This window comes from Homo sapiens, chromosome 16, assembly GCF_000001405.40.
Source record: "Homo sapiens chromosome 16, GRCh38.p14 Primary Assembly".
Lineage (NCBI taxonomy): Eukaryota > Metazoa > Chordata > Mammalia > Primates > Hominidae > Homo > Homo sapiens.
Window position 1 is genome coordinate 4,625,621 of NC_000016.10, and position 22,533 is coordinate 4,648,153.

The following is a 22,533-nucleotide window of genomic DNA, read 5'->3' on the forward strand; positions in this document are numbered from 1 at the left end:
ACTCGGGCCTCTGTGTTATGGCTGAGGGACGTAAGACACCAAGGAGGAAGTGACTGCCAAGATCTCAGCTGGATGGAAGCATAGTTGGGACCGGGACCAGCTGTGGGGCTCCCACGTAGCTTTGTTCCCAGCTCTCTTTCTGCCTCTATTGATGAGTTATGTGTTGACTGGGAGCATCTAGCTCCAAGTCTCACCCTCCATCTCCTCGTGGGGTTCTTTGTGGTGGAAAGGAGAGAAGGAAGAGGAGAGAGAACTTGGGCATCATGGGGACATCTAGATTGGGTCCTCAGATCCTGGCGTCTCATCTGATCTGATGTCTCAGTCTCCTGGGTGTCTCCGGACACCCACAGGCCAGATTTCTCTGAGTGTGGGCCAGGTCCACAAGTGGGGGAGGACTGCTAGACATGCCAGGGCCTGCCTGGGACCCCTTGGGGCCTGGGAACCTGCATTTTCAACCCATTCCCCATGTGAGTTTTACGTCCACTCAGGTTTGAAAAACTGCTCTGCCCAGGTTTTGTAAGGTGTGACTAGGTGAGGGCCTGGGGCCACTGGGATGAAGTGAGGGGAACCAGCACAGTTTGGGGGCACTCTGAAGGGGATGGACTCAGAGCTAGGCAGAACGCACTGTTGCCTGCCTGCTGGGGAGAGCACAGCTGTATCCCAGGCCCAGCAGCGGGTCAGCCTGGCCTTTGGGTGGTTCCACCCTGGGGTTTCCCTAGAGGTTCCGAGGGCTGATGGCCCTACATCAGATGGAGCAGTTTGCTGTTGTCCTCTTTCATCTCTGATATTCTTCCAGCCTGCCTCTGGCTGAGTGACCTTGGTCGAGGTTGCTTAACCCCCTGGGTCCCAGTTTCCTCATCTGTAAAACGGGCTGATGCTTATACAGCCCTCAGAACCACACCTGGCTCAGAAGTCCCCAAATGGTAGCTGCTACAATTGCTCATAAAGGAAGATAAGTGACTAGCTAATGACCATAATCATAGTAAGCAGTGGCATGACACAGATATCAAAAAGTTGAGTGGCACTTCCTGTCACCTGGGACCTGAGCTCACTTGATGTCCGTTCTTCACTTGGGCTGAACAGAATAACATACATGTCATTTACAGCCCGCTTCGGGATCCCACTGTGGCTGAAATGTCATTGCTAATCACTCGTGGCCCTCCCTCCCACTGAGCATCCATCGCAGAACACTCGCGTCAGCCACTATTGGTTGGCACTGGCACCCAGGTGCAACCCATCAGCTAGCTGCCTGGGTCATGTTGCCAGTGCCAGCAGTGTTCTGCGCCCATCCAGTCCACAGGTCCTCTCCAGCTGTGCTTTTTCCCTTTCTCTTCTCCATCCTTCCCTGGGGCCTTGCAGATACTTGTTCTTCTCTTTGTTCATCTCTTCTGGTCCTTGCCTTTGTGCCGCACTGGTTTCCTAGACTCCCCGCCTCTCCTGTCTCCTTAATGAGAACTCCGTCAGGTCAAGGGTGGGAGGCAGGCCGGGCCTCAGCAGCATTTTGGTGTGTTTCCCCAAGGGCAGACCGGGGACCGTGGAGACATTTGAGATGATTTTAGGGGTTGCCCCCATGGACCATTCAATCACCCGATGAGAAAGCTTTCTTTTCACATCTCTGTCAATTTTGTTGATTATGTCAAGGAGAAAGAGTCACTGGGTGGTAATATATGCATTTTTAACACCTAACACTGTCCATTTTTCTTAAGGGAACTTTCAGCATGTTCTGCAGCAGCGCTCAGCTTGAATTTAATATTTGCTTTGTTTTCACTATATCTGTTTTACTCTTCATAGCTTTATTGAGATGTAGTTCATGTACCACACAACTCATCCATTGTAAACATGATTTGATGATTTTTAGTTAAATTATAGAATTGTGCAGTCGTCTGGCCAGGCGCGGTGGCTCACGCCTATAATCCCATCACTTTGGGAGGCCAAGGCGGGCGGATCACAAGGTCAGGAGATGGAGACCATCCTGGCTAACACGGGGAAACCCCGTCTCTACTAAAAATACAAAAAAATTTAGCCGGGCGTGATGGCAGGCGTCTATAGTCCCAGCTACGCGGGAGGCTGAGGCAGGCTGAATTGCTTGAAGCTGAGAGGTGGAGGCTGCAGTGAGCCGAGATTGCGCCACTGCACTCCAGCCTGGGTGACAGAGCGAGACTCCGTCTCAAAAAAAAAGGCTGGGCGCGGTGGTTCACGCCTGTAATCCCAGCACTTTGGGAGGCTGAGGCAGGTGGATCACAAGGTCAGGAGATCAAGACCATCCTGGCTAACACCGTGAAACCCCATCTCTACCAAAAATACAAAAAATTAGCTGGGTGTGGTGGCGGGCACCTGTAGTCCCAGCTACTCAGGAAGCTGAGGCAGGAGAATGGTGTGAACCCAGGAGGCGGAGGTTGCAGTGAGCCGAGACTGCGCCACTGCACTCCAGCCTAGGTGTCAGAGTGAGACTCCGTCTCAAAAAAAAAAAAAAAAAAGAATTGTGGGTGGGTGCGGTGGCTCACGCCTGTAATCCCAGCACTTTGGGAGGCCGAGGCAGGCGGATCACGAGGTCAGGAGATCGAGACCATCCTGGCTAACACGGTGAAACCCCATGTCTACTAAAAATACAAAAAATTAGCCAGGTGTGGTGGCAGGCGCTTGTAGTCCCAGCCACTCGGGAGGCTGAGGCAGGAGAATGGCATGAACCCGGGAGGTGAAGCTTGCAGTGAGCCGAGATCACGCCATTGCACTCCAGCTGGGCGATAGAGTGTGACTCTGTCTCCAAAAAAAAAAAAAAAAAAGGAGGGGACATTGAAGCAACAACAACAAAAAAAAGAATTGTGCAGTCATCACCACAATTGCAGACATTTCCCTTGTAAAAGTTTCCTTCCATCTGTTTGCAGAGTCCCTACCCCAACCCCCACCCTCAGCCCATCAGCGATCTGCTTTCTTTTTTCTTTGAGATGGAGTGTTGCTCTGTCGCCCAGGTTGCAATGCAGTGGCATGATCTCGGCTCAGTGCAACGTCCGCCTCCTGGGTTCAAGCAATTCTCCTGTTTCAGCCTCCTGAGTAGCTTGGATTACAGGTGCGCACCACCACGCCCGGCTAATTTTTAAATTTTTGGTACAGATGAGGTTTCACCATATTGGCCAGTCTGGTCTCGAGCTCCTGACCTCAGGTGATCTGCCTGCCTTGGCCTCCCAAAGTGCTAGGATTACAGGTGTGAGCCACTATGCCCAGCCTTTTCTGTTTTTTTTTGAGACAGTCTCGCTCTGTTGCCCTGGAGTGCAGTGGTGCAATCTTGGCTTACTGCAACCTCTGCCTCCTGGTTTCAAGTGATTCTCCTGCCTCAGCCTCCCAAGTAGCTGGGATTATAGGCACTGGCCACTATGCCAGGCTAATTTTTGTATTTTTAGTAGACACGGGGTTTCACTATGTTGGGAAGGCTGGTTTCGAACTCCCGACCTCAGGTGATCTGCCCACCTCAGCCTCCAAAGTGCTGGGATTACAGGGGTGAGCCACTGCACCTGGCCTGCTTTCTGTTCGTATGTGTGTGTGTGTGTGTGTGTGTGTGTGTGTGTGTGTGTGTGAAAAGTGTCTATTTGAGTCTTTTGTCCAATTTTCAAAAACTGGATTGTTTATCTTACGGAGTTGTAACAAAGAGTTCTTTATGTGTTCTGGATAGGATTCTCCTGTCAGCCATGTGATTTGCAAATATTTTCTCCCAGTCTGGCTTGTCTTTTAATTTTCTTAATGGTGTTTCTTTTGAAGAGCAAAAGTTTTGAATTTTGACGAAGTCTCATTTACTGCTTTTTAAGTGGATACTGCTTTTGGAGTTATGTTTAAGAAATCTTGGGCCCAGGCATGGTGGCTCACGCCTGTAATCCCAGCACTTTGGGAGGCCAAGGTGGGCGGATCATGAGGTAAAGAGATTGAGACCATCCTGGCCAACATGGTGAAACCCCATCTCTACTAAAAATACAAAAATTAGCTGGGCGTGGTGGCACACACCTGTAGTCCCAGCTGCTCAGGAGGCTGAGGCAGGAGAATTGTTTGAACCCGGGAGGCGGGGGTTGCAGTGAGCCTAGATCGCGCCACTGCACTCCAGCCTGGTGAAAGAGCGAGACACCGTCTCAAAAAAAAAAAAAAAATCATACAGGCGGCTGGGTGTGGTGGTTCATGCCTGTCATCTCAGCATTTTGGGAGGCTGAGGTGGGCGGATCACCTGAGGTCAGGAGTTCGAGACCAGCCTGGCCAACAAGGTGAAACCTCGTCTCTACTAAAAATACAAAAATGAGCTGGACGCAATGGCGCACGCCCGTAATCCCAGCTACTCAGGAGGCTGAGTCAGGAGAATTGCTTGAACCTGGGAGGTGGAGTTGGGTTGCAGTGAGCCAAGATCATGCCACTGCACTGCAGCCTGGGCAAACAGTGAGACACCATCTCAAAAAAAAAAAAAAAAAAAAAGCGCAGGTGCAGTGGCTCGCGCCTGTAATCCTAGCACTTTGGGAGACTGAGATGGGTGGATTGCCTGAGCTCAGGAGTTTGAGACCAGCCTGGGCAACATGGTGAAACTCCATGTCTCCTAAAATACAAAAAATTAGTTGGGTGTGGCAGCATGTGCCTGTAGTCCCAGCTAATTGGGAGGCCGAGGCAGAAGAATCGCTGGAACCCGGAGCGCGGCAGAGGTTGCAGTGAGCCGAGATTATGCCACTGCACTCCAGCCTGAGCGACAGAGTGAGACGCCGTCTCAAAAAAAAAAAAACAAATAGAAAGAAAAGAAATCTTTGCCTAGGTCAAGGTCACAAAGATTTTCTCCTATTTTTTTCTAGCATTTTGTTGTTGTTGTTGTTGTTGGTTTTTTTTGAGATGGAGTCTCCCTCTGTCACCCAGGCTGGAGTGTAGTGGCATGATCTTAGCTCACTGCAGCCTCTGCCCGGGTTCCAGCGATTCTTCTACCTCAGCCTACTGAGTAGCTGAGATTACAGGTGCGAGCCACCACGCCCGGCTAATTTTTGGATTTTTTAGTAGAGACGGGGTTTTCACCATATTGGCCAGGCTGATCTCAAACTGACCTTGTGATCTGCCTGCCTTGGCCTCCCAGATTGCTGGGATTACAGGCGTGAGCCGCTGTGCCCGGCCTTTTCTAGAAGTTTTATAGTTTTAGCTCTTACATTTAGGTCTTTGATCCATTTAGAGTTAATTCTTTTTTTTTTTTTTTTTTTTAATTTTGAGATAGGGTCTTACTCTGTCATTCAGGCTAGAGTATAGCGGCATGATGTCACTCTAGCCTTGACTTCCTGGCTCAGGTGATTCTCCCACCTCAGCCTCCCAAGTAGCTGGGTTTTCCCAGCTATGTATGTGTACCACTATGCCCAGCAAAGTTTTTGTATTTTTTTTGTAGAGACAGGGTTTCACCGTGTTGTCCAGGCTGGCCTCAAAGTCCTGGACTCAAGCAATCTGCCCACCTTGGCCTTCCAGAGTGCTGGGATTACAGGTGTGAGCCGCTGTAGCTGACCAAATTAATTTGTTTCACTTATGGCTTGAGATAAAGATCTAAACCCCCCTTTTTTGTGGATGGAATTCAATTATTTTAGTATCATTTGTTGTAGAGACTATCATCTTCCCATCAAATTGCCTTTGCACCTTTGTCAAAAATTAGTTGACCTAAGCCAGGCATTGTGGCTGGATAACAAAGCAAGACCATGTCTCTTAAAAATCAAAACAACAGCGACAAGAACCCCACCAGTTAACCATGAATGTGAGGGTTTATTTTGGGACTCTCCATTCTGTTCCATTGATTTATGTGTGTCCCAGAAGTTCTCAACTGGGGCATTTTTGCCCTCTCAAGGGACATTTGGCCATGTCTGGAGACATTTGTGATTGTCACAGCTGGGGGCATCTGTTGGGTAGAGGCCACAGGACAGTCCCCCACAATTAAGAATAAATCGGCCCAGAATATCCATAGTGCTTAGACTGAGAAATCCTGGTCTGTTCTTAGACCAGCAGCACACTGGCTTGTTTACAGTAGTTTGATAGTAAGTTGTGAAATCAGGTAGCATAAGTTCTCCAACTTTGTTCTCTTTCAAAATTGTTTTGGTTATGCTAAGTTCTTTGCATTTCCATATACATTTTATAATTAGCCTGTCAATTATTTCTACAAAAGCAGCCTGCAATTTTGATAAGTATTACATTGGATATATAAATCTATGTGGTGAGAATTGCTGTCTTTACAGTGCTGACTCTGGGAATCCATGAACATGGTATATCTCTACATTAATTTTGATATTTAGCTTCTCAGTTGTTTTTTTTTTTCAGATAACTTTACCTATTTAAGGCAAGTGATATTTGCCAATCTATTACTGATATATTGCCTTCCCAATCTAGTAGTGATAAAAAATTTCCTTTTTTTTTTTTTTTTTTTTTTTTGAGATGGAGTCTTGCTCTTGTCACCCAGGCTGGAGGGCAATGGCGCAATCTTGACTCACTCCAACCTCTGCCTCGCAGGTTCAAGTGATTCTCTCCTGCCTCAGCCTCCTGTGTTGCTGGGACTACAGGTGCATGCCACCACGCCCAGCTAATTTTTGTATTTTTAGTAGAGATGGGTTTCACCATGTTGGCAGGGATGGTCTTGATCTATTGACCTTTTGACCCGCCTACCTCAGCCTCCGGAAGAGCTGGTATTACAGGCATGAGCCACTGCGCCCGGCTATTCTTAATAACAGTTTTGTTGAGATCTAATTCACAGCATACGAGTCACACTGAGAACATCTAGTCCAGTGGTTTTTTTTGTTTGTTTGTTTGTTTTTGAGACGGAGTCTTGCTCTGTCGCCCAGGCTGGAGTGCAGTGGCGCAATCTCTGCTCACTGCAAGCTCTGCCTCCCGGGTTCACGCCATTCTCCTGTCTCAGCCTCCTGAGTAGCTGGGACTACAGGCACCCGCCACTACGTCTGGCTAATTTTTTTGTATTTTTAGTGGAGATGTGGTTTCACCGTGTTAGCCAGGATGGTCTCGATCTCCTGACCTCTTGATCCGCCCGTCTCGGCCTCCCAAAATGCGGGGATTACAGGCATGAGCCACCGTGCCGGGACCAGTGGTTTTTGGTATACTTGTGTTGTGCAGCCATCACCACTGTCTAATTCCAGAACATCTTCATCACACCAAAAAGAAACCCAGTGGCCATGAAACAGTCACTCACGGCCAGGCGTGGTGGCTCACATTTGTAATCCCAGCACTTTGGGAGGCCAGGGCAGGCAGATTACTTGAGCTCAGAAGTTTGAGACCACCCTGGGCAACACGGCAAAACCTTGTCTCTACAAAAAATAAAAAAATTATCTGGGTGTGGTGGCGTCCACCTTTAGTCCTAGCTACCTGGTGGGCTGAGGTGGGAGGATTGCTTGAGCTCAGGAGGTCGAGGCTGCAGTGAGCTATGATTGCCCCACTGTACTCCAGCCTGGGCAGCAGAGTGAGACTCTGTCTCTAAAGAATAAATTAATAAAATTTGGCCGGGTGCAGTGGCTCACACCTGTAATCCTAGTACTTTGGGAGGCTGAGGCGGGTGGACCATTTGAGGTTAGGAGTTTGAGAGCAGCCTGGCCAGCATGGTAAAACCCCACCTCTATTAAAAATCCAAAAAATTAGCTGGACGTGGTGGTGGGTGCCCATAATCCCAGCTACTCAGGAGGCTGAGGCAGGAGAACTGCTTTAAACCAGGAAGCAGAGCTTGCAGTGAGCTGAGATCACGCCACTGCATTCCAGCCTGGGCAACAGTGCCCAGGCTTTATTTATTGAAAAATTAATAAAAATTGGCTGGGTGCCGTGGCTCACACCTGTAATCTCAGCACTTTGGGAGGCCAAGGCGGGTGGATCACCTGAGGTCGGAGGTTTGAGACCAGACTGACCAAGATGGAGAAGCCCCATCTCTACTAAAAATACAAAATGAGCTGGGCGTGGTGGTACGTGCCTGTAATCCCAGCTACTCGGGAGGCTGAGGCAGGAGAATCACTTGAACCCAGGAGGCAGAGGTTGCAGTGAGCCGAGGTCGTGCCATTGCACTCCAGCCTGGGCAACTAGAGCAAAACTCTGTCTCAAAAAATATATCTATCAATAAAAAAAATTATTATTATTATTATTGAGACGGAGTCTCACTCTTTCTCCCAGGCCGGACTGCAGTGGTGCTATCTCGGCTCACTGCAAGCTCTGCCTCCCGGGTTCACGCCATTCTCCTGCCTCAGCCTCCCGAGTAGCTGGGACTGCAGGCGCCCGCCACCGCGCCCGGCCAATTTTTTGTATTATTAGTAGAGACGGGGTTTCACCGTGTTAGCCAGGATGGTCTCCATCTCCTGACCTCGTGATAAAAATTTTTTTAAAAAGGGCTTGGGTTTCATAGTAGGATGCATTTGAAGGTAAAAGCAATCCTAACAGGCTGTGAAAATTGCAGCTGCCATTGGGGGCAACCCTGTAGGCGTGTGGTGGGAGGAGCACTAGCTTCAGAGTCCTGGGCTGATGGTAGCCCCTCCTGTGCCAGTGACTTCCTCAGTGGCCTTGGCCAGTGTTTTGCTCAATGGGGCCCCAGGTTTCCCTGGCTGAGCCCTGGGGGTCACCTCTGATTCCCTGGGCCCCTTTCAGGTCTGGCTGCCAGTCCATGTGAGCCAGCAGGGAGGGACAGGCCCTGGCCCTCGCCCAGCCCAGCCCAGCTTTTGTTTTTCATGATGCCCAGAAGTTTTCTGGAAAATGTTCTGTATTTCCTGGATGACCCTGAAGTGGTGACCACTCCTGCCTGCCCACCTCCCAGACCCGGTGCCGCCTGGGTCCGACATTGCCTGGCTTTCCCCGCGCCCTTCCGCTGTGTCCCGTGAGGCTCTCTAGCTTTGCGCTTTGGGGTCATCTTGTCCAGTGGACGACGGCGTGGTGTCGTCTGCACCATCCCTGCAGTGCCTGACTTGTGCTCGCTGAACAGCTGTAGAATTACCCGGAGCTCAGCCCTTTGCTGCGCCCTAGGAGGGGCTGGAAGAGGAGCGGCCTGTGTCCCTCTGCTTGTTTGTGGAGAAGCTGACCTGGAGCAGTGTTGGAGGGGTCCCTGGATCCTGAGCGAGTGTTCGGTCATTTGCCTTTCCATAGACCTGGGCGAAGAAGCGAGAGGTTTGAGGAGTGACTGAAATCAAGACCTGAGGCCGTTAGAAGAAACACCGTTTGCTCAGTCCTTTCATCCAGCTCGCGGGGGACTTGGGTCCTCTCACGTGGTCTTGGGTATGTGGCCTCAGCGGGGCCTGGCATCCCTGAGGTGGGCAGAAGGTTGCATTGGCTCCCCAGGGCTCAGCACTGGCGCCACTGCTCACATAACTGAAGCTTTCTTCTAACAGGGCTCTCGCCCCGCGGAACAGATGCTCTCTGTGATGTCTCTGAGAGCCCAGACTCCCAGGGAGCCTTCTGGGGAATCGAAAGAAAGAAAAGATTGCTTCAGTGCTTTGGGGAAAAAGTGTGTGTGTACATATACTGCACATAGACATTAAAAATCAGAGGCTGGGGGCTGGCTGCAGGGGCTCACGCCTGTAATCCCAGCACTTTGGGAGGCTGAGGCAGGCGGATCACTTGAGGTCAGGAGTTTGAGGCCAGCCTGGCCAACATGGCAAAACCCTATCTCTACTAAAAATCCAAAAAAAAAAATAGCCAAGTGTGGTGGTGCACACCTGTAATCCCAGCTGCTCAGGTGGCTGAGGTGGGAGAATCTCTTGAAACCAGGAGGTGGAGTTCACAGTGAGCCAAGATTGCGCCACTGCACTCCACCCTGGGTGACAGAGTGAGACCCTGTCTCTAAATAAATTAATAAGTCAAATAAAAAATAATAAATTGAGGCTAACATATTCTTTTTTTTTTCTTTTTTTCGAGACAGAGTCTTGCTCTGTCGCCCAGGCTGGAGTGTAGTGGCATGATCTTAGCTCACTGCAACCTCTGCCTCCTGGGTTCGAGCAATCCTCCTTCAGCCTCTGGAGTAGCTGGGATTACAGGTGTGGGCCACCACACCCAGCTAACTTTTTTTTCTTTTTTTTTGAGACAGAGTCTCGCACTGTCATCCAGGCTGGTGTGCAGTGGCGCAATATTGGCTCACTGCAACCTCCACCTCCCAGGTTTAAGCGACTCTCCCGCCAAAGCCTCCCGAGTAGCTGGGATTACAGGTGCCCACTACCACGCCCAGCTAATTTTTTTTTTTTTTTTTTTGTATATTTAGTGGAGATGTGGTTTCACCATGTTGGCCAGGCTGGTCTTGAACTCCTGACCTTGTGATCTGCCTGCCTCAGCCTCCAGAAGTGCTGGGATTACAGATGTGACTACCGTGCCCGGCCTCAGCTAACTTTTGTATTTTCTGTTTTTTTTTTTTAAGTAGAGACAGGGTTTCACCATGTTGGTCAGGCTGGTCTTGAACTCTTGACCTCAGGTGATCCACCTGCCTCGGCCTCTGCAAGTGCTGGGATTACAGGCATGAGCCACTGGGCCTGGCCAAGGCTAGCATACATTTAGGAAATGTACAGCTCATTAATGTGCAGTTTGATAAATGATCACAAAATGAACATGTTGAGAAAAATAGAGCAGTACCGGCCCCCAGAGGCCCCCTATTGTCCCCTTCTGAACAACCTGCCTCCCCCTTCTTCCCTGGGAACCACCCCCCTGACTTCCTCCCTGGGTGACTTCTGCTTGGGTTTGAGCTTGAAAGAACTGGAAGGAGGCGCTCTTCTTGCTCCACCTCAGGATGAGATGGGATGCAATGGCCGGGCGGGGTTTGTGAGCAGTGAGTGATCTGGCGTCTGCTGTGGGACCTTCCAGCGTCCCAGTGCTGCCCGTGGACGGGCTCCGGGGGAGCTGGGGACATCCTTGTGTCTGGCGGTGGTGCCCTTGAGCCTGATCTCTTTGGGTGCGTTTTTATGCCTGGAGTGGACTTGTTGGGGCTGTTGGGTGCATTCAGCCTTCGTAGATTTTAAACTTTTAGGAGTGAACGAATTTGCATGTCTGCAGGCAAGAACAAGGGTGTTGGTCGCTCTGCATTCATACTGGCACTAGGTAGGGTGAGGGGTGTGTGCTATTTTTAATTTTTTTTCAATTCCACCTTGAATTTCTCATTGTACTTTTCCCTGATGACCAGTGAGGTTGAGCGCCTTTCTCTATGCGAATTGGCCATCTGTTTCTTGTCCTGCTGTTGAAGTGCCTTGTGAAGTCTTTTACACATTAAAACAATTGAGTGGCCAGGCTCAGTGGCTCACACCTGTAATCCCAGCACTTTGGGAGGCCGAGACGGGCAGATCACAAGGTCAGGAGATCGAGACCATCCTGGCTAACATGGTAAAACCCCGTCTCTACTAAAAATACAAACAATTAGCAGGGCACGGTGGCGTGCGCCTGTAGTCCCAGCTACTTGGGAGGCTGAGGCAGGAGAATGGCGTGAACCTGGGAGGTGGAGCTTGCAGTGAGTCAAGATTGCGCCACTGCACGCCAGCCCGGGCGACAGAGCAAGACTCCATCTCAAAAAAAAAAAAAAAAAAAAAAATTGAGTGGCCAGGTTCAGTGGCTCACACCTGTAATTCTAGCACTTTGGGAGGCTGAGGCGGGCAGATCACCTCAGGTCAGGAGTTGAAGACCAGCCCGGCCAACATGGTGAAACCCCGTCTCTACTAAAAATTCAAAAATTAGCTGGGCATGGTGTTGGGTGCCTGTAATCCTAGCTCCTGGGGAGGCTGAGGCAGGAGAATCGCTTGAACCTGGGAGATGGAGGTTACAGTGAGCCAAGATCGCGCCATTGCACTCCAGCCTGAGCGACAGAGTGAGACTGTCTCAAAGAAAAAAACAAAAAAAAAATTGAGTTATCTTTTTTTCTTACTGGTTTATAGGAGCTCTTTCCTAAGTGCTTTTTATTATGGTTTTAATTCTTTGGAAATTGGCCGCCTTAGTGCCGTTTATGGAAGCTAGCCCAGGCAAGAAATGGAGTGTATTGAAGGCTCCGAGGGAAGTCCCAGTAACCTCAGGGGAAACGGACAAGTGGAAGCTGCGGGAACCCAGAGCCTCTGTTCGGCTCCAGCCTCAGCGCCATCCTGCAGTCCTGCAGAGCGCCCCAGCTGCTCCGGCGTGTGTGAGGCCATCGCCACCCACCAGGCTGGTCAAGGGCCAAGTGCTGCCGTCGTCCCTGGTCCCATTCCACAGGAGGGAGAATTCGGATGGCCCAGTGTGCCAGTGTCCACCTTAGGGCCAACCAGCCCTGTCTAGGGGGTGGGGGCCACCCTGAGGGTGGTGGAGGCTGTTTCCAGAAAAGGGGAGGACACACCCCCAACAAAAAAGGTGACTACAGCTTATGCCCCCTCCGTGCCCCAGCGTCTTTGCTTAGTCAGAGTTGTTCTCAGCTTTGTGTTCCGCACTGGAAGCCAGAGCCCTGTATTTAATATGGTATCACGTTTACATATGGGAGGTCCGAAAGGGACTTCTAGCCAGTGTGTTCACACCTGCCGGAGGCTCCTTTGTGTTAATTGGCATTTTTTATCCTCAGGACGTCCTGAGTTTAGGGTGGCCCTCTCATCTCAAGTTTGCAGTTAAAGAAATCAAGGTTGGGTGTGGTGGCTCCCTGTAATCCCAGCACTTTGGGAGGCCGAGGCGGGTGGATTACGAGGTCAGGAGTTTGAGACCAGCCTGACCAACATGGTGAAACTCCGTCTCTACTAAAAATACAGAAAATTGCTGGGCGTGGTGGCGGGTGCCTGTAATCTCAGCTATTTGGAAGGCTGAGGCAGGAGAATCACCTGAACCCGGGAGGCAGAGGTTGCAGTGAGCCGTGATCGTACCACTGCACTCCAGCCTGGGTGACAGAGCGAGAGTCCGTCTCAAAAAAAAAAATAAATAAATATCTCAGCCCATGTTGACTTCCCCAGCTGGGTGGGGGACTGGTAGTAGGCAGGGAAGCATGGTAGGCCCAGGGGGATCAATGCGTGGGTGATACAGCTGGGTGGGACCCCCAGAGCACTCGAAGGCTGTGGGGCTGCCACCCCCTCTGGCCTCCCACCTGGTGGGGGCATCCTGGGACCTGATCTTGTGCAGGTCTGGCCCACCTGGGGTTTATTGGCAATGCAGCAGCTGATTTTGTGAGACTGGTAAGCAGGAACACCTGTCCTGTTAGAACACGAGGAGAATTTTCAGCAGGTGGAATCAGTGAGCTGTTCGGAGCCCCTGCAGACACCTCGTGGCCTTCCCACTCCCCCTTCCTCGGGTGGGAACGATGGCTGAGGCAGCCCAGTGAAGTCCACCCCTGGTGTCCCGGGTCCCTGGGCCGCTGTGTTTCTTAGGAGGCAGACATGCTGGGTGTCTTCATTCACATCCTGGCTTACTTCCCATGGCTGACAGTGCAGGCTCTGGAGTCTGCCCAGGGGTCCCAGTGAGAATGTCTCTCACTGGTTGTGTGACCTGAGCAGGTCACTCAGCCTCACCGGGCCAGTTTCCCTGACTGTCAAACACCAGTAACAACAGCATCTGCTTTCATTCATTAGGTGAGTGTTCATCCAGCTCTTAGGCATGGAGCGGGGAGGTCATGAGGATGCGGGGCCGTGGACAGTTGAGGATGATGCCTACTTTTGGGCTGGGGAGGACAGAGGGAACCAACAGGTACACGAGATAAAGCAGCAGTGACACTATGAGGAGAATGGCGGCGGGAGCGTTGACCACGAGCTGGCAGTTGGCCTGCGTGGTGGTCCAGGCTGGCCTCACCGCGGCATCCCAAGGAGGGAATAGCCCAGGCCGGGAAGGTGGGGCGGGGTGGGCAGGGCATGTGGAATCACTGGTCTGCAGAGCGGGGAGCTTGGCCATGGCCTTCAGGTCAGGGTGCAGCAACCTTCACCATTGGGCATCATTAGGCTGGGGGCATCTGGAAGGTCAGGAGGAAGCCTGGGCTACCTAGGATGGAACAGGCAGGACAGTTGTCTCCAAGGCCTGCCTATGACTTGGGCATCCTGTCCCCAGATGCACAGCGTCTGCCCCCTCGGTGCGGGAGGATGAGGAACGCCTGCCTGTGGATCCACACATGGTCCCCGTATTGGGGGTGTGGAGGAAAGGCCTTTCTGACATGATCTGAGCCCGGCCTCTTTCTCTTAGGGGTGTACCAGGGTTGGTGGGTTTGGAGGCAAATGCATTTCAAGGGTCCAGATCACGAACCTCTGACCCGGTGGGCCCTGAACTCTGGTCTGATAAACATGGGTCAGACTTCTCCCTGAAAACTGTGAGCGTGGAGTTCAGGCACAGGCAGGCGGGGCAGGTGCTTTCAGGCTTGATAGCAAGACCCTACTTTACTCATCTGCCCTCCACGCTCCGCGGCTCCGACGGTGTTTGCTGCGGCTCCTCTGCTGCGTTGAGTCCGTCTGTGCACTCAGATGGCCTGTGCTTCGCCTTTCGCCCGCGTTCTTGGGAGGCCTTGCCGCGTCCCGGGCCTCCCGCCCTTCCAAGGTTGGCTTGTTTCAGTGATTCGGAATGTCCCTGTTTTCCTCTCGCAGATGTCTGGTGGCGTTCATTGCACACTGTGTACCACAAGATATTGACAAGGTGCAAGAGACACAAGACGGGCCCAGAAGGCTTCTTGGCTCACTCTGTGGCCTGTATGGAAGGGACAGGGCTGTCCCCCTCCCCTGGCCATCCCCAAGACAGCCTCTGACCTGTGGCCTTGTGGTTTTGGTTTTTCTCAGCTGTAGAGATGACAAACGTATGTATCCTCCTGCCTGGAGGCATGTGTGGAGAGCATTGAGGCTGTTCGGGGAATGCCTCGAGGCCTCCCACGGAAGGGATTTTGCAGTTTTCATTTCTGTGGCTGTTGTCTCCCTGTGCAGGTTGCCCGGACACCTGCAAGCCACCCAGAGTCCGAATCCCTCGGGCAGGGAGGCAGTGAACTGCTGGGCTCCAGTCCCCCTGGGGGTGACAGTAAACCAGGGGAGAAGGATGCCTTTGTTTTAGTGGTGTTCGAGGACTGCCCTGAGGCCCTGGGTCCTTGAGTGTGTTGGTTCCACATAGCCGGGATTTCCAGGACAACCTTGGGACCCTGTGGCGTCTGTCGGGCTCTGTGAGCCCACAGGAGGATTTTCAGCCATTCTGCTGGGGAAGCCCCTTGGGTGTGGTTTTTTGTGTGTGAACAGTGCCCATTGTCACTGGCGATGACACCACTGACTCCTGTCCCCGTGGTCCCCCGGCTGCAGGAGGGGAGGTGCCCAGCACAGAGACTGAGAAACAAGTGGGCTCTGGAGTCGGGGTGTGCGCCCCAGCTCCACCGCTGATGAGCTTGGGGGCCTTAGCCAAGCTTCGTTTCCTGTATGTTTGAAAGTGTGGGCCTTGTCTGCCCCTCTTTCCTTGGGGCCAGCGGGAAAGGGGGTGAAGGCGCTGACCTCAGCAGGTGTGGAGGGAGAGCCTGGTGGGTGTGGTTCCACCTGCGTTCTTTCACCTCCACAGCTGCCTTCCCACTTCCCACTCACAGTCTCCTTTTCTTTTTCCTCCACCCCCTTGGCAGCGCTGCCTGCTCCTCTTGGTCCTGAGCTGGTGCACATACAAATGTACACAGCTCATGCACGCACACACCACATGTGTGTCATTCTTCTTGAGGCAAAGGAAAGGGCGGCCCCGCCCCTAACACTTCCCCAGGCCTGGTCCCTTCCTCCTGCCCCATCAGGGACCTAGGGTCTCCTTCCCGTGTTTCTTCTCCATGTGTGGATACCCATGTGTGAGCAATAGGATTTTTTTTTTGTTTTTTGGAGACAGAGTCACGCTGTTGCTTGGGCTGGAGTGCAGTGGCCCAGGGGCCCAATCATAGCTCACTGCAACCTCAAATTGCTGGGCTCGCATGGTCCTTCTGCCTCAGCCTCTTGAGTGGCTGGTACTACAGGCACATACCACTGTGCCTGGCTACTTTTTTTTTTTTTTTTTTTAAGACAGCGTTTTGCTCTTGTTGCCCCAGGCTGGAGTGCAGTGGTGCAGTCTCGGCTGACCGCAACCTCTGCCTCCCAGGTTCAAGTGATTCTCCTGCCTTAGCCTCCTGAGTAGATGGGATTACAGGCACCCACCACCATGCCCAGCTAATTTTGCATTTTTAGTAGAGACGGGAGTTTCTCCATGTTGGTCAGGCTGGTCTCGAACTCCCAACCTCAGGTGATTCGCCTGCCTCGGCCTCCCAAAGTGCTGGGATTACAGATGTGAGCCACTGCGCCTGGCCACTTTTTGTATTTTTTGTAGAGACAGGGTCTCGCCATGTCGCCCAGGCTGGTCTGAAATTCGTGGCTTCAAGCCATCTTGCCCACCTTGGCCTCCTAAAGTGCTGGGATTATAGGCGTGAGCCCCCTCGGCTGGCCTGGATTCTCTGTGAGGTGTTTCCAGTTCTTCCCAGTTGGTCTCGTCTCCTGCAGGTGTGAGTTGTTGATTGTCTGCGCCGTGTTGATCACGTAGACCCTGTTCTTGAGTGCTGAGGGTCCATCCGGTAACCCTGCACTGTCATGCATTTCCCTGTCAGCATATGACTTGGTTCCTTTTTTTTTTTTTTTTTTAAAAAAGACCGTCTTGCTCTTTCGCCCAGGCTGGAGTGCAGTGGCGCGATTTCAGCTCGCTGCAACCTCTGCCTCTTGGGTTCGAGAGATTCTCCTGTCTCAGCCTCCCGAGTAGTGGGGATTACAGGCATGAGCTAATTTTTGTATTTTTATTTATTTATTTATTTTTGAAACGGAGTCGTCTTCTGTCACCCAGGCTGGAGTTCAATGGTGTGATCTCCGCTCACGGTAACCTTCGTCTCCTGAGTTCAAGCGATTCTCCTGCCTCAGCCTTCTGAGTAGCTGGGATTACAGGCATGCACCACCACGGCCAGCTAATTTGTGTGTGTGTGTGTGTGTGTGTGTGTGTGTGTGTTTTTAGTAGAGATGGGGGTTTCACCTTGTTGCCAGACTGGTCTTAAACTCCTGACCTTGTGATCCGCCCGCCTCGGCCTCCCAAAGTGCTGGGATTACAGGCGTGAGCCACCGCACCCGGCCCTAATTTTTGTATTTTTAGTAGAAACAGACTTTCCCATGTTGGCCAGGCTGGTCTTCAACTCCTGACGGCAGACCTCAAGTGATTTGCCTGCCCTGGCCTCCCAAAGTGCTGGGATTACAGGGGTGAGCACCGTGCCTGGTGGGTTATAATTTTTAACGCTTGAATTTTTTTTTTTTTTTTGTTAAAGGGTCTGGCTCTGTTGCCTAGGCTATAATGCAGTGGCTTGATCAGGGTTCACTGCAGCCTTGACCTCCCAGGCTCAAGTGATCCTTCCACCTCAGCCTCCCGAGTACCTTGGACTGCAAGTACGCATCACCGTGCTAGCTAATTTTTTTTGTTTTGTTTTGTTTTGAGACAGTCCCACTCTGTCACCCAGGCTAGAGTGAAGTGGCACAATCTCAGCTCACTGCAGCCTCTGCCTCCCAAGTTCAAGCGATTCTCGTGCCTCAGCCTCCTAAGTAGCTGGGACTATAGGCACACACCACCATGCCTGGCTAATTTTTGTATTTTTAGTAGAGATGGGATTTCGCCATGTTGGCCAGGCTGGTCTCAATCTCGATCTCCTGACCTTGTGATCCACTCCTCTCGGCCTCCCAGAGCACTGGGATTATAGGCACGAGCCACTGAGCCTGGACTAATTTTTGTATTTTTGGCAGAGATGGGGTTTTGCCATGTTGTCCAGGCAGGTCTCGAACTGCTGGGCTCAAGTGAACCTCCCACCTTGGCCTCCCAAAGTGGTAGGATTACAGGCGTGAGCTACTGTACCCGGCCTTGCTTGATTTTTTTTTTTTTTTTTTTTTCTGAGACAGAGTCTCCCTCACTGCAACCTCCGCTTCCTGGGTTCAAGGAATTCTCCTGCCTCAGCCCCTCCCAAGTACCTGGGACTACAGGCGCGTGCCACCACACCTGGCTAATTTTTTGTATTTTTTAGTAGAGACGGGGTTTCACCGTGTTAGCCAGGATGGTCTCCATCTCCTGACCTCGTGATCCACCTGCCTTGGCCTCCCAAAGTGCTGGGATTACACGCGTGAGTCACCGCGCCTGGCAAAAATCTTGTATTGATCATATTGTGTGTCTGCAACCAAAATATGCGCACCAATTGAAATTAGAATTTTAAATAATTTTACATCATAAGCTGTGAGTTTTTCGTGTTTTGAATGGCCATTACTAATACCCAATTGATCAAACAAATATTCCAGTTTTTATCAATAACAAGAAGAAATACGAAAAAACATTGGAAATATGTCTCTTGAGTAGATGGGTTCCTTTTTCTCCTGGTTAATTCATGCATTCACAGTTGGATACAAGCTGTTGCTAAAATGATTTCAGCCTCAATGCTAGTTTTTTTTGTTTGTTTGTTTTTTTTGAGATGGAGTCTCGCTCTGTTGCCCAGGCTGGAGTGGAGTGAGGTGGTGCAATCTCGGCTCCCTGCAACCTCTGCCTCCCAGATGCAAGCAATTCTGCTGTCTTGGCCTCCTGAGTAGTTGGGATTACAGGCATGTACTACCACTCCCGGCTAATTTTTTTTTGTTTTGTTTTGTATTTTTAGTAGAGATGGGGTTTTACCATGTTGGCCAGGCTGGTCTAGAACTCCTTACCTCAAGTGATCCACCCCCCTCAGCCTCCCAAAGTGCTGGGTTTACAGGTGTTAGCCACCGTGCTTGGACCCCTCAATTACCAGTTTTTTTTTTTTTTTTTTTTTGATGGAGTTTCACTCTTGTTGTCCAGGCTGGAGTGGACAGCTGGCCCAATCTCAGCTCACGGCAACCTCTGCCTCCCAGGTTCAAGCGATTTTCCTGCCTCAGCCTCCCAAGTAGCTGGGATTACAGGCACACACCACCACGCCTGGGTAATTTTGTATTTTTAGTAGAGACAGGGTTTCTCCATTATGGTCAGGCTGGTCTCCAACTCCTGACCTCAGGTGATCCACCCACCTTGGCCTCCCAAAGTGCTGGAATTACAGGTGTGAGCCACTGCACCTGGGTTCTGTTTTTTAAGTTGAGAAACCTTGATAACATCAATTAGATAGGAATTAGCAAGATTTTTATGTAACAATAGCATCTATTTCCAAGTTACTTCACAAAAATTGACATAAAAACCTAGTACAAAAATTAATGATTCATCACCTCACAACTTACGTCCTTCCAGTTAAGTTTTTTTGAGGTAAAATTCACTTACCATGGGGACACCTTTTTAAAGTGTACAAGTCAGTGATTTTTGGTATATTCAGTCATGCAACCATTACCTTGATCTAATTCTAGAACATGGTCCCAGTTTTGTGATATTACAACCATTGCTTTAACAAACACTCTTCTTCCTTGTCTCTAATCTTTTAAAAATAATTTTTCTTGTTTTACAAATGATATATGTTAATTGTAGAAAACTTAATTTTAAAAAGATAAAGGAAAAAATTAATAATCACTTATTACCTATGCAGGTGTTTTAGTTTGTAGCATTTGTTTCTCTGAAGTTATTTATATGTATATATGCGTGTGCATATATATATAGAGTGAGAGTTGGCGGGGGTGGGGGTGGTGGTGGGGGGACGGGAAGAGAGACAGGGTCTTGCTCTGTTGCCCAGGCTGGAGTGCAGTGTGGTGTGATCATGGCTTACTGCAGCCTCGAACTCTTGGACTCAAGCGATCTTCCTGCCTCAGTGAGTGTCCTGAGTAGCTAGGACTACAGGCATGCGCTGCCATGCCCAGCTAATTTTTAAGAATTTTTTGTAGAGACAGCGTCTCCCTATGTTGCCCAGGCTGGTCTTGAACTCTGGGGCTCGAGCGATCCTCCTGCCTTGATCTTCCAAAGCGCCCAGGCATGAACCACTGGCCCAGCTTAATTACTTTCTCTGAAGTTATTGAAGCTTAAAACTACATACAGTAAGATCTTAGAGCCTCCAGCCTAGAACACCAGGCTGAAAAGTGCTGTGGAGAAGAATAAGGCTGGAAAGGGGAGTGGAAAGATTGGTTGGCAAGCTGGGGTGTGGGAGGCTTGGCAAGTTGTAAAAGGGGTGTCAGAAGAGGCCTCGTGGAGAGAGCAGCCTGAGGTAGAGCTGGAGCTCCAGGGAAGAGCTGGATGAGCTGAGGACTCCAGGGCCCCGAGGTGTGAGTGGGCCGGGGCTGGCAGAGTGGCCTTGTCTGGGGCCTCGGAGGCTACTGGGACCTGCCCCAGTGTGGCTGGGACGCCAGCAGAGTTTTGAGGGCAGTGGGTCCAGAAACAACAGACCTGGGGACCCAGGGGATGTGGGGAGGCTGGTGAATGGGCACAGTCACAGGGCAGATGGTGCCAGAGGCTCTAACCAGTGCTGTGGTTGTAGAAATGAAATCGAATTGGGAGTCAGGAGAGGAGAAATGACAGTCACGTAGACCACGTCTCAGAAAGACTCGACGTCTCTTTCTGGGTGACTCCTTCAGAGTGTAGTGGCTTAGCACAGTGAGCACTTCCTACCTTACGGTGAGGGTCGGGATTGGGAGCGGCTCCGTCGGGGGGCTCTGGCTCACCATCACTCGTGAGTCCTCACTCAGGCTGTGTCACGGTGGCTCACGCCTGTAATCCCAGCACTTTGGGAGGCAAAGGTGGGAGGATTGCTTGTGCCCAGCAGTTTGAGACCAGCCTGGGTAGCATAGTGAGACCCCATGTCTACAAAAAATAAACAAAAATGAGCCAGACATTGTGCACACTGTGATCCCAGCTACTTGGGAGGCTGAGGCAGGAGGATTGTTTGAGCTCAGGAGGTCCAAGGCTGCAGTGATCGTGCCCCTGCACTCCAACCTCGGCGACAGAGCAAGACCCTGTCTCAAAAAAAAAAAAAGCTGTGGGTGGGCTGTGGTCCTCTGAGGGCTTGCCTGGGCATGGAGGGGCTGCCTCCCTGGCTCACAGGCCCGGCATGCCGGTGCTGGGTTTAGCGGGAGGCCTCAGGTCCTCCCCTCGGGACCTCTCCATGGGGCTGCTTGGGTGTCCTCACAGCATGGTGGCAGCTTCCCCCAGAGCCTTAGAAGCCACACACCATCATTTTCATGCAGTCTCTGTGGTCATCATTTCATGCGGTCACCTGGTCAGCCCTGTTCAGTGTGGGTGCAGTCTGCCCAGAGACATGTCGGCCGGGAGGTGAGATGCGCTGGGGGCCCTCGTGGAGGCTGGCCACCTCGCTCATCTTCTGCCTACAGCGGGGGCTTCTTGGACACAAAGTGGTTGTGCCTTGAAGGTGCCCTGGGAGGAGGTTGGAGCAGGAGGCTTCTGGACCAGGGACCTGTCTCCTGCCTGGGGCCATGGAGTGCCCAGTGCCTCGGCCTGGAAGGCCTGGCAGGGACAAGCCCGCTCCTGAGTGTCCCTCCAGACCAAGGCTGCCCGGCCTTCTGGACCCCACCTCAGTACGTCAGCGCTGGGGAGAGCCTGGAAGGGTGGGGGCTGATCACTGCTAAGGGTGCCCCCGACGATGGGTCCTGGGCTGGTCAGCAGGGTCACTGGGCTTCCCACACCCTCTTGCCGTGCTGCTGTGGCCCTTGTCTGCCAGCAGCTAGTGCGGGGGTTCCCAGCAGCCGAGTCCTTCATGTGGTTTTCATGAACATGGTGCACATCTTGGAGGAGCAGGCAGGTGGCTCTGGGCCGGGCCCTGTCTCAGCCCTGCTCCATGACTGGGGCTTGAGGTTGGTCTGAGGCCAGCATCCGGAGACCACCGTGCCCTGAGGCACGGGGTGCCTTGTGGCCCCTGGCCCCGCCCCGTAGGCTGTGTGGAAAATTCACCTTTAAAGACTTTGTGTATTTCAATGTGGTGGGGCTATGTTCAAGGCCCAGGTAATCAGGGAAGGCATCCTGGGCTCACTGTACTGCAGGTGTTCTTTCTTTCTTTTGATTTAAAACCACCACATAGGCTTTGCTCCACCCCTCGTCTGCTCTGCACCAATTTCCCTGGCAGCCTTGTGGGCGTGTCCTTCCAGAACATTCTCTGTGTATTCACAATTTGTGTTGCGCACATCTCAGTGCGTGCGGTGACCCCTCAGAAAATGATCTTGCAGTGTGTTAACTTGTTTTCTTTAACCTGCAAATACTCTGTGACTCGCTCCACATCGGTATGTCTGGATCAGCTTGGTTCCAGCAGCTGTGTGGTGGGCCATAAAATCAGGGCGTCCCACTTGCTGAAGCAGTTGCCGCTTTCTTCTTTGTTTTTGGTCGTCATCAGCTCTCAGTGGTCCCTGTTCTGCATGCTGGGTTAGGTGGGGCTGCGGCTCCCAACCACTGTTCCTGGCAGTCAGCAGCCATGCTGGGCACCTGGCTCTGGGCCACCTCCCTCAGGAGGAGCACCCTGGAATCACTGTTGGGGCCCGGCTGGTCTTGGTGGCCGTGGCTGTGCCAACTGTAACTGGGGCCGTGGTTCTCGGGAAGGACACAGACCATGCAGCGCCTGAAGGTCTCAGAATTCCCGCTGAAGGCCCCGGGAAGGGCCCACCTGGCCTCAGGTGGGAATTCTGAGAAGGAATAGGGATTCTGGGGCCCCCAGTGGGAATTCTGAGAATTCCCAGAAGTCCCTGC

The 22,533-nt window shown here is 51.7% G+C and overlaps 1 protein-coding gene and 1 pseudogene across 5 annotated transcripts in view, besides 3 other annotated features; one reads left to right on the forward strand and one right to left on the reverse strand.

Moving 5' to 3' along the window:
* Positions 1-22,533, forward strand: part of MGRN1 (mahogunin ring finger 1) — a 66,147-nt gene that overhangs the window by 795 nt on the left and 42,819 nt on the right. The gene's annotated exons all lie outside the window — the stretch shown is intronic.
* Positions 526-1,054: an enhancer, noted in NCBI's record as "H3K27ac-H3K4me1 hESC enhancer chr16:4676147-4676675 (GRCh37/hg19 assembly coordinates)". NCBI's record gives its function as "activates a minimal SCP1, AML or CMV promoter by ChIP-STARR-seq in naive H9 embryonic stem cells {active_cell/tissue: H9 hESC(naive)}" and the evidence as "EXISTENCE:reporter gene assay evidence [ECO:0000049][PMID:30033119]".
* On the reverse strand, positions 7,971-8,261 carry RN7SL850P (RNA, 7SL, cytoplasmic 850, pseudogene; annotated as a pseudogene).
* Positions 11,653-12,617: an enhancer, noted in NCBI's record as "H3K27ac-H3K4me1 hESC enhancer chr16:4687274-4688238 (GRCh37/hg19 assembly coordinates)". NCBI's record gives its function as "activates a minimal SCP1, AML or CMV promoter by ChIP-STARR-seq in primed H9 embryonic stem cells {active_cell/tissue: H9 hESC(primed)}" and the evidence as "EXISTENCE:reporter gene assay evidence [ECO:0000049][PMID:30033119]".
* Positions 21,530-22,029: an enhancer, noted in NCBI's record as "H3K4me1 hESC enhancer chr16:4697151-4697650 (GRCh37/hg19 assembly coordinates)". NCBI's record gives its function as "activates a minimal SCP1, AML or CMV promoter by ChIP-STARR-seq in naive H9 embryonic stem cells {active_cell/tissue: H9 hESC(naive)}" and the evidence as "EXISTENCE:reporter gene assay evidence [ECO:0000049][PMID:30033119]".